A 15,420-nucleotide genomic window follows, 5' to 3' on the forward strand; every position below is an offset into this window, starting at 1 on the left:
TCGCCCAGGCTGGAGTGCAGTGGCGCGATCTCGGCTCACCGCCAGCTCCGCCTCCCGGGTTCACGCCATTCTCCTGCCTCAGCCTCCTGAGTAGCTGGGACTACACAAACCAGCTTGTTCTTAAAGAAAACAGAAGATGAAAGGGAAACAAGGCCAAGTAACATCTCTGCAGAGTTCCTCTGCTGTCTCATTCGCTGGGCAGGCTCATTCCTGATAGGTTCGCATGCTCACTAGTGTCCCATCCCATCACCTGGAGAAAATTTAAAAAATAAAAGAGAAAATGAAAGGATCATTCTTTTTGGTCATGGCCACTGGGATGACAAGTGAAATGCACAGAAACTATGTGTCCCTGCTGAGCAGGACAGTGAAATGTCTTGGAACAGAGATGGTTGGCAGGGGTCTGCCCAGGTGACAGCACTAGACAAGAGGACCAGGATACATATTACTTGACTGTTCATATAAATGTAATATAATCATATGAAGTGGGGATTTAGGAGAAAATAAAATACTTTCCTTGCACCTAATGCTAAGGATGATGTTTGCTATCAATAGGTGCATCAAGACTGGACAGCAGGAATCATGCTGGACAGTAACCCTGCACCTGGTTTCTACCCTCAGAAATTTTCTATCCTTTCTGGAGTGAGTTAAGAAAAGAGTTACTTTGCTGGTTCTCATTTGGACAGCTGTTTGTTTGTCTGCCCAGTATCCAATCTCCTTTTTAATGTTAAGGGGGAAACACTTTACGTTTTGAGAGGACTGTCAGTCAGGGTGCCCTCCCTCTCCTGGACAAGGAGTAAACATGCAAACCAAGCTCTGTTCGGAGTTTGATCCCTGAAGAGTAACTCAAAGAAAGAAGATAATTGATCTTGATTCTTCCTACTGGCTGACTGCGAAGGGAGTGTCCAGTGTACCTGATTTTCCTGAACTGCCTTGCGTCAGAGCCTTTCCAAAGCTTGGTTCTGACATTCTGTTGGACTCTACGACCTACTAAAAATCCTTTCAATAACTTAAATGGCCCCAAGTTAATTTTTGTGGCTTACTTTCCCTTTCCCCCAAGGATTAACTGCTCTATTCATCTTTTTAAACATTTCTTTAGCCCACCTTACATATTGCTTTCTAAACAATCCTACTCCATTGCTGAGACATCCTTGTTAAAAATCGTCAATGCTTTCAGTTCCGCACTGGTCTGTGTCTGAATTCTTCAGCTGGACTTCTTATACTTTTCAAAAGCTATCTCTACTTTCCTTCAAATTAGAAAGGAGGAGTCAAATGATATAGGCAGTCATTAGAATGGGAACTGGAGAAATAACATTGGGGAACTGGCAATGGGTGTCTCAGTGTTTTTCCTCTAAAAATGTGGATGCAAAAGTAAATAAGATGTAAGACCCTTTCTCTTACGTTCTATGCTTCAAATCTTGTCCCATCTTGATTTTTCCTATTGACATGCAATGGGAATATAGCAACTTGGGGCAGAGAGGAACATATATATCTGGCTGCCAGTCTTTGGGCCTCTGCACAGCAAAAATTTTAGTCTATGAAAATCTGAGTGTCAAATCAGTGTCTGTGCAGGGAAAGCACAACCATTGCCCGTAAGTACTAGTCATTCTACCATTTGACAATCTTTGGATATGTTCGAGCTTGCTGTCCCAACACTACATTCATCATCTCTCAGTGATTTTGCTCAGATGTTCCTAACTTCAAGTTTTATGCCTTTCTGTGCTTTCTTCATCCACATATTGTATGCTCTCCCTCTCCATTGGTTTGAGACCTGTTCTGGGAGTTAGTTGGTCCAATGGAAGAGGCCAGGAGAGATCTATTGCTTGCTTGGATGAAAAGGTGGTTTAAGTGTTTGTGACTTTCGTTGTTGAACTAGAAACACCATTCTTCAAGGGAAAGTAAGTGATCATGTTTCAGTGTCTAACTTTGGCATCTTTTTCTAATGGCTCAATGTCAAGTTCATGCTAAAGTCTTTGCTTTCTGGGTTTTATTTTATTAAATCTTACCACATTTTTTTTTTCTTTGTGGTCCATTAAACTATCATTCCTGGACCTGGGAAATCATTTAAAATTATCTGTGCAGTAAGAGAGTAAAAATGCATCAGTTGGATTTGAGCTATTTTCATGAGAAATCTGTCAGTCACAGTGATGGACAGGAAGTATATTTCTTCCAAATAAATTTCTCCCTCACTTTCACCTTGTGCTTTTCATTTGTTTCAGCCTTCTGATGGCTGGCAGGAACTTCAGTTTTTATATAGGAATGGCTCTGTGTTGGGTGCAAAAATTCCTCTTTCTCATTCTCTTTTCCATGTAAAAACATTGAAATTTATTATTTTTCTGTTGTCAAATTGCATGATCTATTAACTGAAAATATGAGTACTGATTTTTCTTCCCTGAGGTGCTTGTGGATAAAGTGTAGTTTACACTTGAGGTTATGTTAACAGAGCTTGCTGCCAACTGACCTCTCCATTCAATGCAAAGTTAGGCATGCAATGAGGAAAGATTTACTCATCCTTTCCAGTAGGTCATTTGGGTTGAGTCATCCATTCATTATTTTTCATTCTTTAAACAAATATCTACTGAGTGTCTACCATATGTCAGACACTGCAGTAGGCATTGGGTATATGACTGGTGAACATAATAAGGATCAGTTTCTACCTTCTTTGAACTCGATGGGAGAATATTAAATAATCACATATTAGTTATTTATTGGTATATAAAAATTATGCCCAAACTTACCAGCTTAAAACAACGAACATCTATTATCATTCAGTTTCTGAGGGTCACGAAACTGGGCATAGCTTAGCTGAGTGGTTTTGATTCAGAGATTATTTTGAGAATGTAATCAAGCTGTAGGCCAGGGCTGCAGTTTCTGAAAACTTGACTAGGATTAGATTATGCACTTCCAAGCTCACGCATGTGGTGGCTGGCAGGAAGCTTAAGTCCCTCACCATGTGTGTCTCTCCATGGTTGCTCACGATATACCTTCCCTCAGAGAAAGTGATGAGAGACAGAGGTCAAGAATAAACTGGCAGACTTTTAAAACCGAATCTCAGAAGGGACATATCAAATTTCTACCATGTTCTATCACACAAATCAATCCTGGAACAAAGTAGGAAGGGAGTACATAAGGGGGCCACTCCAAGGAGGCAAGGATCATTGGGCACCATCTTGAAAGCCTGCTACTAAAAACCATATAAATAAAAATCTAAAATACAGTATATTAAGTGCTAAAAAGGACATTGTTTTTTTAAAAAAGAAATTGAGAGTAGAATAAGAGGATTTGAATTGTCAGTTGGATTAGGAACTCTTCCCTAAAAAAAAAAAAAAAAAAAAAGTGAGGATTGAGCTGAAATTTGAAGGGTGAATAAATAGGTGTTAACTAGGAGAAGATAACACAGAAGAATGATGCAGGCAGAGGACATAGCATGTACAAGGGCCCTGCGAAGAGAAGAAACATAATGCTTCTAAGGGACTGAGAGAAAGCCAGAGTAGAAAGAATGGAGAGTAGAAGGAGGCACAGCACTCAGTGAGGGCCACACTGTGCAAAACACTTAGGCCATGCTGCCATTGTGGTCTTCATTCTAATTACTTCAATGGAAAGAGCTTAATCAGACCAGTCACTTAGACTTGTTTTTTTTTTTTTTTGGCATTTTATTTTTAAAAATTGTAGTACAATGTATGTAACATAAAAGTTACCATTTTATGTACACTATTTCTAGAAATTTTTTTATCATCCCAAACAAAAAATTTCTACCCATAAAGTGGTAAATCCCTATCCCCTACTCTTCCCAGACCCTGGTAAACTCTAATCTATTTTCTGTCTCTCTGAATTTGCTTATGTCAGATATATTTCATAAAATTGGACACATATATTTGTGCTTTTGTGTCTAGCTTATTTCACTTAGCACAGTGTTTTCAAGGTTTATCCATATTGTAGCATATGTCAGAATTTTATTTCTTTTTATGACAGAAGAGTAAAATTTAATTGTACATATATAATATATTTTGCATATTAATTCATCCATTGATAGATACTTGAGTTCTTTCCACCTCCTGAGTATTGCTAATAAAGCTACAAAGAATATTGGTATGTAAGTATCTATTTGAGTTTCTGCTTTCAATTCTTTTTGGTACAAACCTAAGCATGGAATTACTGGGTTATTTGGCAATTCTATGTTGACATTTGGTGTTATAAATTTATTTTTTATTTTAAATTATTTTGGATACATAATAGTTGTATATATTTATGGGGCACATGTTATATTTTGATAGAAATATACAGTGTGTAATGATCAAATCAGCTCTGTATTGAGCCTTTTTTTTTTTTTTTTTTTTTTTTTTTGAGATGGAGTCTTGCTCTGTCACCCAGGCTGGAGTGCAGTGTCACGATCTTGGCTAACTGCAACCTCCACCTCCCGGGTTCAAGCGATTCCCCTGCCTCAGCCTCCTGAATAGCTGGGATTACCGGTGCGTGCCACCACGCCCAGCTAATTTTTGTATTTTTTTTTAGTAGAGACAGGGTTTCACCATGTTGATAAGGCTGGTCTCAAACTCCTGACCTCGTGATCCGCCTGCCTTGGCCTCCCAAAGTGCTGGGATTACAAGCGTGAGCCACCACACCCAGCCATGTTGAGCTTTTCGAGGAATCATCAGGTTCCACAGTGGCAAGACTGGTTACCTTTTGAAAAACTCACCCTGGCTGCAGGGTGGGGACCTGATCAAAGCAGTTTTAACTGGGGGTGTCAGTAGATTCATAGGTAGGGTCAGATGGCTGTGGTGAGGCGGAATTGATCTTTTTGAATTGCAATACATATCATAAAGCCTTAAATGTACATGACCAAGGAGGCATGTATCATGGTCAAAGTATCATTGAAGATGGAATCTACAGATAGATAGTCATTTGAGGCTTGGCTGAGATACTCACTAACTGTGTAATACTCTGGCAGCCTAAGTTGCTGTTCTGGACCTTGGCCTTCTTGCAAGAAAGCATAATGGCTCATATTAGTTATCCTTTGTCAGGAGGAGCCTGTGATTGGATAGGTGAATGGCTTGGGAGAAATCAAACCCTATTGCCAAAAGAACATAAGGATTCTGCAGAGTACTAAGCAATTAAATTCAAAGGTTTTATGTGAACATGGGAAGCTGATAAGTTTTGTTTTGTGACTGTGTATCAAAGTGATGGAAATATTTGAATTTAAAGGAAAGTTCAGGAATACATCTTTTGGGGAAAAACACACCTGTACTTTTACCTTGCCCGCTCTGCGATCATTCTTTTTGTTTGTCTAATATGACACATAGTTGTCATTTTATAAAATCTTTCTTTAAAGGGCGAGATAATTGTCTTACATTTCTTGCCCAGTGTCTCATGCATAGAAGACATTTGTTAAATGCTCTATTTGTTAAATATCTGAGTGAATGTGACAGTGGAGAGAAAGGGCAACAGTCCTACAGCTGATTGGGAAGTTTCAGCCTTTCTTTGTAAATTTGGTGTAGGAATGAAGGTGATGTTACAATAAGAATTTTAGGCTGGGTGTGGTGGTGGCTCATGCCTGTAATCCCAGCACTTTGGGAGGCCAAAGCAGGAGGATTGCTTGAGGCCAGGAGTTTGAGACCAGCCTGGCCAACATGGTGAAACCCCATCTCTACTAAAATTACAAAAATTAGCCAGGTGTGGTGGCGCATACCTGTAATCCCAGCTATGCCAGGAGGCTAAGGCACACTAATTGCTTGAACCTGGGAGGTGGAGGTTGCAATGAGCCAAGATCATGCCACTGCACTCCAGCCTGGGCCACAGAGTGAGACTCTGTCAAAAAAAAAAAAAAAAGAATTTTGAATCTTTGGAGAATATTGGGTAGAAATAGAAAAGGACCTGTGGGAAACAATGGGTCTTCTGTGTTCTCTCCTATTCAGAAGATGTCAATAATTATGTGTTCTCATTTAGCCATCATGTAATTTTCTTACCTTAAAGAAGTTTTATTTTTACTTAACAAAGTTGAGATCATAGACCATCTTATACTTCACTGTTTCCCCGTTGGATAAACATGGAAATGAACAGCATTTTATGAAATGATTGATGTTCTTTTGCTACCAGAGTGTTGCACTTGTTCAGAATTATGAATATATTCATGCTTGGGTCCGCTATAAACAGGAGTATAAAATTTTAAACTTTTTACTCTGAATTTGGTCACTGAGCCAACAACGGAGATACCAAAATTATAGTCTTGCTTTTTCCTCCTGTTTTCCAATTGGTCCCTGGGCCTTGGGTTGTGGGAGAAAGTAGCAGATATTGAAGAAACACTACCAGGTAGAACTGGAGCCCCATTTATGTCTCAGACAGAGAGGATTAGCTTCAGGAGTTCTCACCTTTCTCAGGCCTCGATACCTTTGTTACAAGGATTTTGGATGATGTGGTACAATTTTATAGTTTTAAACCCTGCACCACCCTACTTATATTCCCTCTTATTAGCTTTTGTTAAGCCAAAAAAAAAAAAAAGGAAATAATTTCTACTTGAGAGAAGAGATCGTAGTTGTGAAGTGAAGCCACTTTATCAGAAGGCTTGGGCATTATGTAGGGATCTTGTTGGCCTAGATGCTGATGTAGACCCTCACTGAGTCTCATTGTCATCATGTTTTGCAAGGCTGTCTGGCCTTGCTTAGGCTGTACTTCTGCGGTTACATGCTTAGATCTCCTAAAAATTCAAAGCTCTCAGCAGGTTTGTGAGCACTTTTTCAGAGTTGATAAAAAATGTAATAAAGTTTCGTTAAAATGTGTAATATATACGTATATAGAAAATTCATGTAGTAACTAGATACATATATTTGCAGTGATGGTATTTATTACTTAATGCTTATATGCTTTGTTTAGGAATTACTAAAAACCTCTGTCATTTTTATAATTAAAATGTCATGTTACATTTGCATATTATATATGCATGTGGCTGCATTTTCTGGAACAAAACTTGGCATATATAATTAGACTGGTAAAAAGATATTAGTAGATATGAGTTCCATAGGAGCAAATATGTGAAGTCCCTATTCTGAAAAACTAGGACTTTTGAGCCCTGCCAATTATGTATGTGAAAGTTTTGTTAGTCTCAGTTTAAATTTTAGGGATAAACGCTGATTTCCTTCCTTCCTTCATTCCTTCATTCCTTCCTTCCTTCCTATCTACCTACCTACCTACCTACCTACCTTCCTTTCTTTCTCTTTCTTTCCTTTCTTTCTTTCTTTCTTTTCCCAGTGGTTACATTGCAGGTTCAGAAAAACACCGTCACATATTCTGTCTATTGGTAGGAATTAAAACCCTTCAAGGTCACAAGTGGGTCTTTGAAGCCTAGAGGTCCCCCAGGGGCTTTGTGAATCAAGTTGCTCACAAGCAGCTTTTCCATTTTCTACTTGTTCTACATGTGAAGGTATCAGTGACATGGTCAGGGGACTAACTAGCTTTAAGCAGGAGTCATTTATGAAGGCAAAACACTGGAGGGCAAATTCCCTCTCACACTCTGCAGCACTGGAGAATGAGAGCCACTCGGAGTCACAAGGAATAAAGTTTTGTGACTGAACAACCAAGCTCTCTGTCAAGAACAACAAAAAGTAAAGCACCAAAGCTATTGCTGAAGGCGTCAGCAAGCTTCCACTGAATTGAGTGCAAAGTAGAAAATACTCAGAGGTCTGACAATTTAAAGTGCAGTATGAAACAAGTTCAGGACTCATGGTTTATATGAGCAAAGATTGCTTTTCCCTCCAGGCTAATGACTCTCAGAAGTCCTGATTAAAATTTTATTTCAGTTTGTCTCATTTTATAAGTAGGATGTTTGTGGCATTAATGTGATTTCTGTTCCATTTCACCCATCAGTTTGAGTTTACAATATTAGAAATCTACCTAGATGAAGAAAGTCTTTTATATATTTAATCAAATCACCTGAGTAGATTACTGATGGTATAAGCAAGTTGGTTTTTAACATATCCGAATATATTTTAATGTGAACATAAAACCATTGAGGGTTTTTAAAATACTTTTGTACTTTTAACAGAAACTAGGATGTTTTTGCTGAAAATTAAAAACTATTTTTTAAGAAAATTTTGATTGGGCATATAGAAATCAGCCAACAAATTATTGAGAGCACACATCCTTTAAGAAGTAGGAAAATGTTTCATGTATGCATAAATATTTAATTTGAAATACTAGTTTCCTTTTCTTTTCTTACTGTTACCACATTTATGACTACAGGTAAGCTTGGTGCTTCATCAGGTTTCACTTCCACTCAGTTGGGTGTGTACATTTGTGAATGTGTGAGTTGGGGTGGGACAGACAGGTTTTGAAGACCTTCATAGTTTGAGGACTAGGAAGAAAGAGAGACATCCTGGGAGGGTGGGAAGAGCCTGTATTTTGCAGTGGTGGTTCTAGTTATTTATTGCTTTGTAACAAATTATGTCAAAACTTAGTGGCTTAATACAAACAACAGTCAATTAGCTTGCCAATAAATCTGCAATTTGGATGGGCCTCACAGCGAGTGACTTGTCTCTGCTCAGATTGGATGACTTAAATTGCTAGAGGCATTTCTCTCCATGTAGTTTCAGGCCTTCTCTCTATTTCTCCATCTTGTCCCTCTCCAAGGTGGCTTTGAGGTAGTTGGATGCGGTGGTTCACATCTCCAAGGATAAATATTCTGGAGACCCAGGTGGAAGTGGCAAGGCCTTTTATAATCTAGTCTTGGAAGTCACTCAGCATCTCTTCCACCGTATCCAACAGGTACATCAGGCTGGCTTTGACTTGTGTGGAGGGGGATCATAGAAGAGTGTGAGTATCAGAGGTGCAGATGATTGGGGGACCACCTTGAAAGTTAACATAGGGGTTAAAACAAGACCTCTGGAGCTGGACTACCTGGGTTCAAAGCTGGGTCCGGCCTTTTAGGCCATGTCACCTTAGACTAATTTTCTCTCTTTGAAGCTTGGTTTCCTTGTCAACAAAATGGGGGATAGTAGTCATATCTATCTCATAGATTGTTATGAAGATTAAATGAGATAGAAGATAGTGTTTGGCCTGTAAAGTGCTCAGTAAAAGTTAATTCTCATTATTGTCATTGCTATAATGTCACCAATATGGTAATTTACATGAAAATGCAAATTTTGGGGGACTGAAGTTTTTTTGGGGGGGTGTATGTCACAGAAGATCACACATTTCCATTTCTGCCCTCTTATACTTACCTCACAGGTGAATATTAAAAGAGATGTTTCTACTTTAAGGTAAATTAGGGTGAGGTCATCCACTCTACACAGGTGTCAGACTCACTCTCCTGATCCTATGACTGAACAGGAAAGATTATTTCATGTGAATGTAAAATTTATACCTATGTACTTTGCCTAAACTGTCCAGAATAAATGCGAATATATATTTCTGCTCTTTTTAGAGACCAATACTGTGTTTTGGGCATTGCATGTATAGAAACTACTATGTAGAACAGGGCAAACAATTACATATCATGTACATGTTGAGCATGGGCAATGTCACTTCATAGCAAGAGAGAGCTCAGTGTAGTCTATACTCTTATCAATGCGTATCATACATACTTGATGTTGAGAATAATCAGATCCTAAGCATATTCAGTTAACCAGAACTGAGCAATGCTCCAACTACAAACAAGGGTTCCTTGATTGTACCCAGCTCTGAAAACCCAGCAACTAAACCAAAATGACTGTTAATAGAAATTTTTCAGTGGCGTACATCAATTTACAATGAGTGACTCACCTATGGCCAGTGACGTAATGTAAACACTCTCACTGCAATATTACCTCCAAGCAGGGAAGAATGTGCCAAAGGCAGAGAAAATATGAATACAATGATGTCAACACAAAAGTACATGTCTTTTTGTAAAACTAACTTTTCTTATGGATGACTTTCACTTAGAACATTGCTGGTTCCAGGGCAGTTCTGAAAATGAGGATTTAAGAAATCCTACTCTCGACAGCAAATAACCCATGGAGCAATATTTTTCATTCTCTCACTCTCTCTATTTTTATTTTGAACCTCTTAAATGCCCAACTTTCAAAGCATTTCCAGATTTCACATTTATCCAAACACATGTGATAAAATTGAAATGAATAGAGGCCCTGAAATATTGTTTTACACAACAGTTCATCATAATATTTACATTTGATGTTACCAAAATACTTCCTTTCCTTTACAGAAACTATAAACCTGGTTTGGCATTAATACTCATTATCTCTACTTAAATACACCTTTTTTTTTTTTTTTCCTATAGCTGAGGTACAGAAGCCCTATCCAAGTTGTTAATGAAGTACCTGAGTCCCAGAGGCACCCTGAGCTATAATAGTCTTTGAAATAAGAAGCTTATGAATAATTCAATGCTGTGGCTCCTCTAGTGGTGGGATTATTTCCTTTAGCACTACAAAATAAAAAATTTAGTGTGTTTTATCTTAGAGGTAGGCAGACTAATGAACTGGAACCAAATTTGGGCCACTGAATTAGCTCTAATGCTTTTTACCAGATCTAATGGAGGGAAATGAAGAGTCATGCATCTTATTTTTGATAAATCCCACAAATAAATTTGGTTGGAATATACAACAATATTGCTTCTATAGTATTGTTCTAAAATTAGGAAGTATTCAATCTGATGTTTGTCATCAAAGATTAAATCTTTCCTGTTACCGAAACTAAATGATTGGTAGATCACTCATCTCTAAAGGAGCCCGAATAATTGCTTTTATTTAAATAGTAAGAAATTATGGCCTTTGTCATGCATGATGATAAAATTTCCAAAGCCCATAATTCCTGCTTGGAGTAATCCTCTTATTGCATTTTATTTGAACTGGTCTCAGGGTTATGTTAGCTGATTACCACACGAGTAAATACATACTTCCCTTGCGTAGCAAACATCAGAGCCCTTTCTAAAAGCATAGGTTGGGCGGGGCGCAGTGGCTCACACCTGTAATCCCAGCACTTTGGGAGGCCGAGGTGGGCAGATCACGAAGTCAGGAGATCGAGACCATCCTGGCTAACACGGTGAAACCCCGTCTCTACTAAAAATACCAAAAATTAGCCAGGCGCGGTGGCGGGCGCCTGTAGTCCCAGCTACTCGGGAAGCTGAGGCAGGAGAATGGCGTGAACCCGAGAGGTGGAGCTTGCAGTGAGCCCAGATCGGGTCACTGCACTCCAGCCTGGGTGACAGAGCGAGACTCCGTCTCAAAAAAAAAAAAAAAAAAAACAACAAAAAACAAAAAACATAGGTTGGGAGGAGATTCCCATTTGGTAGAGTGAGACTTGCTCTAGGACAGATTCTCTTTAACTTGCCAGAAACAGAAGTGTGTGTTTTTTTAAAAAAATTTTATTTGTTTTGAGCTTCATGGTTTCACTTGTGATCACAAGGCCCTTGAGACACATTAAAGCAGCGCTTTAAAACAGGATGAGTATGGTTCTCATTTTTGGACCTGGGATCTGAGATCAGGTTATTATTATTTATTTTTTCATGATACTTATAAGTATATTATTATTATTTATTACTTATTTTTTGCATGATTCTTATAAGTATTATATAATGTCAATGTACTAAGTCTGTGACACCAAAGAGATTTCATTTCCCTTGTATGCAAAAATAATGACAGTGCCAGTCTCCACTCATCTGATTCACAGAGTACCAAAAGTATTCTGAAACCCTGGTTTTACCTTATTTTCACCTTCTTCAGAAGGGCCTGGGAGTGTTGATGGAAAGATGGAACTGCTTAGGTATGAGGAGCTCTGTCTGTTAAGATTGCTTTCTGCACCACCTGAGGAACCGTGGCTTAAAATGGTACAGGTTCATTTTCCTTCTTTCTTTTTTCCTTCCTTTGTCCTTCCTCTTTTTCTCCCTCCCTCCCTTCCTTCTTTTTTACTGACTTTTACACAATTTGATGATTTGATTTTTCTAGTGTCAGCGAATTCTGGGAAAAAAAAAAAATAATAATGACCAGTCTGAAGGTAGGTATTTGCTGGCATTGGTTCTAGTCTTTAACGATGCTGAGGACAGCATCTCTGGAGTTTCCTTGTCGTTTTCCTTATCTTTACCAACCATGGTTGCAGAGGCCATGTGATAGGAATTTCACATTAGTTTGAATGCAGAAGCATATATGAGAATCCAATGGTCTTCTACAAAGCCAGATATTACAAAGATTAGCAAAAATATAAAACAATGCCATTCTTCTCATTATTAATATTATTTGCTTTGGAAAAATTATTTTAACACAAATGTTATTTATGTCAATATTTAGTGATTTTGTTGTCTTTATACAAATTAAAAATCTTTTTAAAATCTTCATGTTTAACTTCTGAATTAGTAAATATTTATTTATTTTTTTATTATACTTTAAGTTCTAGGGTACATGTGCACAATGTGCAGGTTGGTACATATCTGTACATGTGCCATGTTGGTGTGCTGCACCCATTAACTCATTTACATTAGGTGTATCTCCTAATGCTTTCCCTACCCCTCCCCCTACCCCACAACAGGCCCTGGTGTGTGATGTTCCCCTTCCTGTGTCCATGTGTTCTCATTGTTCAGTTCCCATCTATGAGTGAGAACATGTGGTGTTTGGTTTTTTATCCTTGCGATAGTTTGCTGAGAATGATGGTTTCCAGCTTCATCCATGTCCCTACAAAGGACATGAACTCATCATTTTTTATGGCTGCATAGTGTTCCATGGTATATATGTGCCACATTTTCTTAATCCAATCTATCATTGATGGACATTTGGGTTGGTTCCAAGTCTTTGCTATTGTGAGTAGTGCCGCAATAAACATACGTGTGCATGTGTCTTTATAGCAGCATGATTTATAATCCTTTGGGTATATACCCAGTAATGGGATGGCTGGGGCAAATGGTATTTCTAGTTCTAGATCCTTGAGGAATCACCACACTGTCTTCCACAATGGTTGAACTAGTTTACAGTCCCACCAACAGTGTAAAAGTGTTCCTATTTCTCCACATTCTCTCCAGCAGCTGTTGTTTCCTGACTTTTTAATGATCACCATTCTAAGTCGTGTGAGATGGTATCTCATTGTGGTTTTGATTTGCATTTCTCTGATGGCCAGTGATGATGAGCATTTTTTCATGTGTCTTTTGGCTGCATAAATGTCTTCTTTTGAGAGTGTCTGTACATATCATTTGCCTACTTTTTGATGGGGTTGTTTGTTTTTTTTCTTGTAAATTTGTTTGAGTTCATTGTAGATTCTGGATATTAGCCCTTTGTCAGATGAGTAGATTGCAAACATTTTCTCCCATTCTGTAGGTTGCCTGTTCACTCTGATGGTAGTTTCTTTTGCCATGCAGAAGTCTTTAGTTTAATTAGATCCCATTTGTCAATTTTGGCTTTTGTTGCCATTGCTTTTGGTGTTTTAGACATGAAGTCCTTGCCCATGCCTATGTCCTGAATGGTATTGCCTAGGTTTTCTTCTAGGGTTTTTATGGTTTTAGGTCTAATGTTTAAGTCTTTAATCCATCTTGAATTAATTTTTGTATAAGGTGTAAGGAAGGGATCCAGTTTCAGCTTTCTACCTATGGCTAGCCAGTTTTCCCAGCACCATTTAAATAGGGAATCCTTTCCCCATTTCTTGTTTTTGTCAGGTTTGTCAAAGATCATATGGTTGTAGATGTGTGGTATTATTTCTGAGGTCTCTGTTCTGTTCCATTGGTCTATCTCTCTGTTTTGGTACGAGTACCATGCTGTTTTGGTTACTGTAGCCTTGTAGTATAGTTTGAAGTCAGGTAGCGTGATGCCTCCAGCTTTGTTCTTTTGGCTTAGGATTGACTTGGCAATGCGGGCTCTTTTTTGGTTCCATGTGAACTTTAAAGTACTTTTTTCCAATTCTGTGAAGAAAGTCATTGGTAGCTTGATGGGGATGGCATTGAACCTGTAAATGACCTTGGGCAGTATAGCCATTTTCACCATATGGATTCTTCCTATCCATGAGCGTGGAATGTTCTTCCATTTGTTTATGTCTTCTTTTATTTCATTGAGCAGTGGTTTGTAGTTCTCCTTGAAGAGATCCTTCACATCCCTTGTAAGCCGGATTCCTAGGTATTTTATTCTCTTTGAAGCAATTGTGAATGGGAGTTCACTCATGATTTGGCTCTCTGTTTGTCTGTTACTGGTGTATAAGAATGCTTGTGATTTTTGCACATTGATTTTGTATCCTGAGACTTTGCTGAAGTTGCTTATCAGCTTAAGGAGATTTTGGGCTGAGACGATGGGGTTTTCTAGATATACAATCATGTCTTCTGCAAACAGGAACAATTTGACTTCCTCTTTTCCTAATTGAATACCCTTTATTTCTTTCTCCTGCCTCATCAACATACGCACATCAATAAACGTAATCCAACATATAAACAGAACCAAAGACAAAAACCACATGATTATCTCAATAGATGCAGGAAAGGCTTCTGACAAAATTCAACAGCCCTTCATGCTAAAAACTCTCAATAAATTAGATATTGATGGGACGTATCTCAAAATAATAAGAGCTATGTATGACAAACCCACAGACAATATCATACTGAATGGGCAAAAACTGGAAGAATTCCCTTTGAAAACTGGCACAAGACAGGGATACCCTCTCTCACCACTCCTATTCAACATAGTGTTGGAAGTTCTGGCCAGGGCAATCAGGCAGGAGAAAGAAATAAAGGGTATTCAATTATGAAATAGTAAATATTTAATCCACATGAGCAAAAGTCCTGTAGGGGAGCTCTCAATAATAATAATTTAAAGAATTCTGAGACCAAGATGTTTAAGAAATGATGCTTTATAAAATGAGGCTATCAATTGTTAGTGTACATATGCCTTTGCATTTGTTTTTCTCAGTTTATCATTTGCCTGTTATTTATTGTGTTTTTATTATCGTAGTTTTATTATTTTTCTGGAGTCTATTCTCTGGATTTACTCCTTGTGTATCTCCTCCTACTATTCTTGTGTTTATAGTGTTTTGATTAAACATTACCTCATGTTCATATTTTTATGTTTTAGTTTTTATGTAATGTAAAATATAAATGTAACTCCCCCTCATAATAAAGCCAGCAGTCTCAATGTCATATTTTGAAGAAGTCTTCCTTTCCTGTACTTATCATTTGACAAAATCTATTTGTACATTTGGCATGTTAAGAAACTTCCCATTTGTCCCACTAGTCTGTAGATATTGCTTTGCTAGTATCTACAGATTATGGTCTGTAGGCTATTCGTATTACCATGCCTTTATAACATGACTTTGACACTTGATATTAAAGTGCCCCTTGTAATTTTCCTTTCCTACAATGGTACTGATTATTTTTATGCACTTATTTTCCCAGATAAAATTTAGAGTAACCCTCTTAAGTTACAAAAATACACAGTGGTATGTTTATGGGAATTGTATTGATATGGGAAATACATACCT

This window comes from Homo sapiens, chromosome 3 (assembly GCF_000001405.40).
Source record: "Homo sapiens chromosome 3, GRCh38.p14 Primary Assembly".
Classification (NCBI taxonomy): domain Eukaryota; kingdom Metazoa; phylum Chordata; class Mammalia; order Primates; family Hominidae; genus Homo; species Homo sapiens.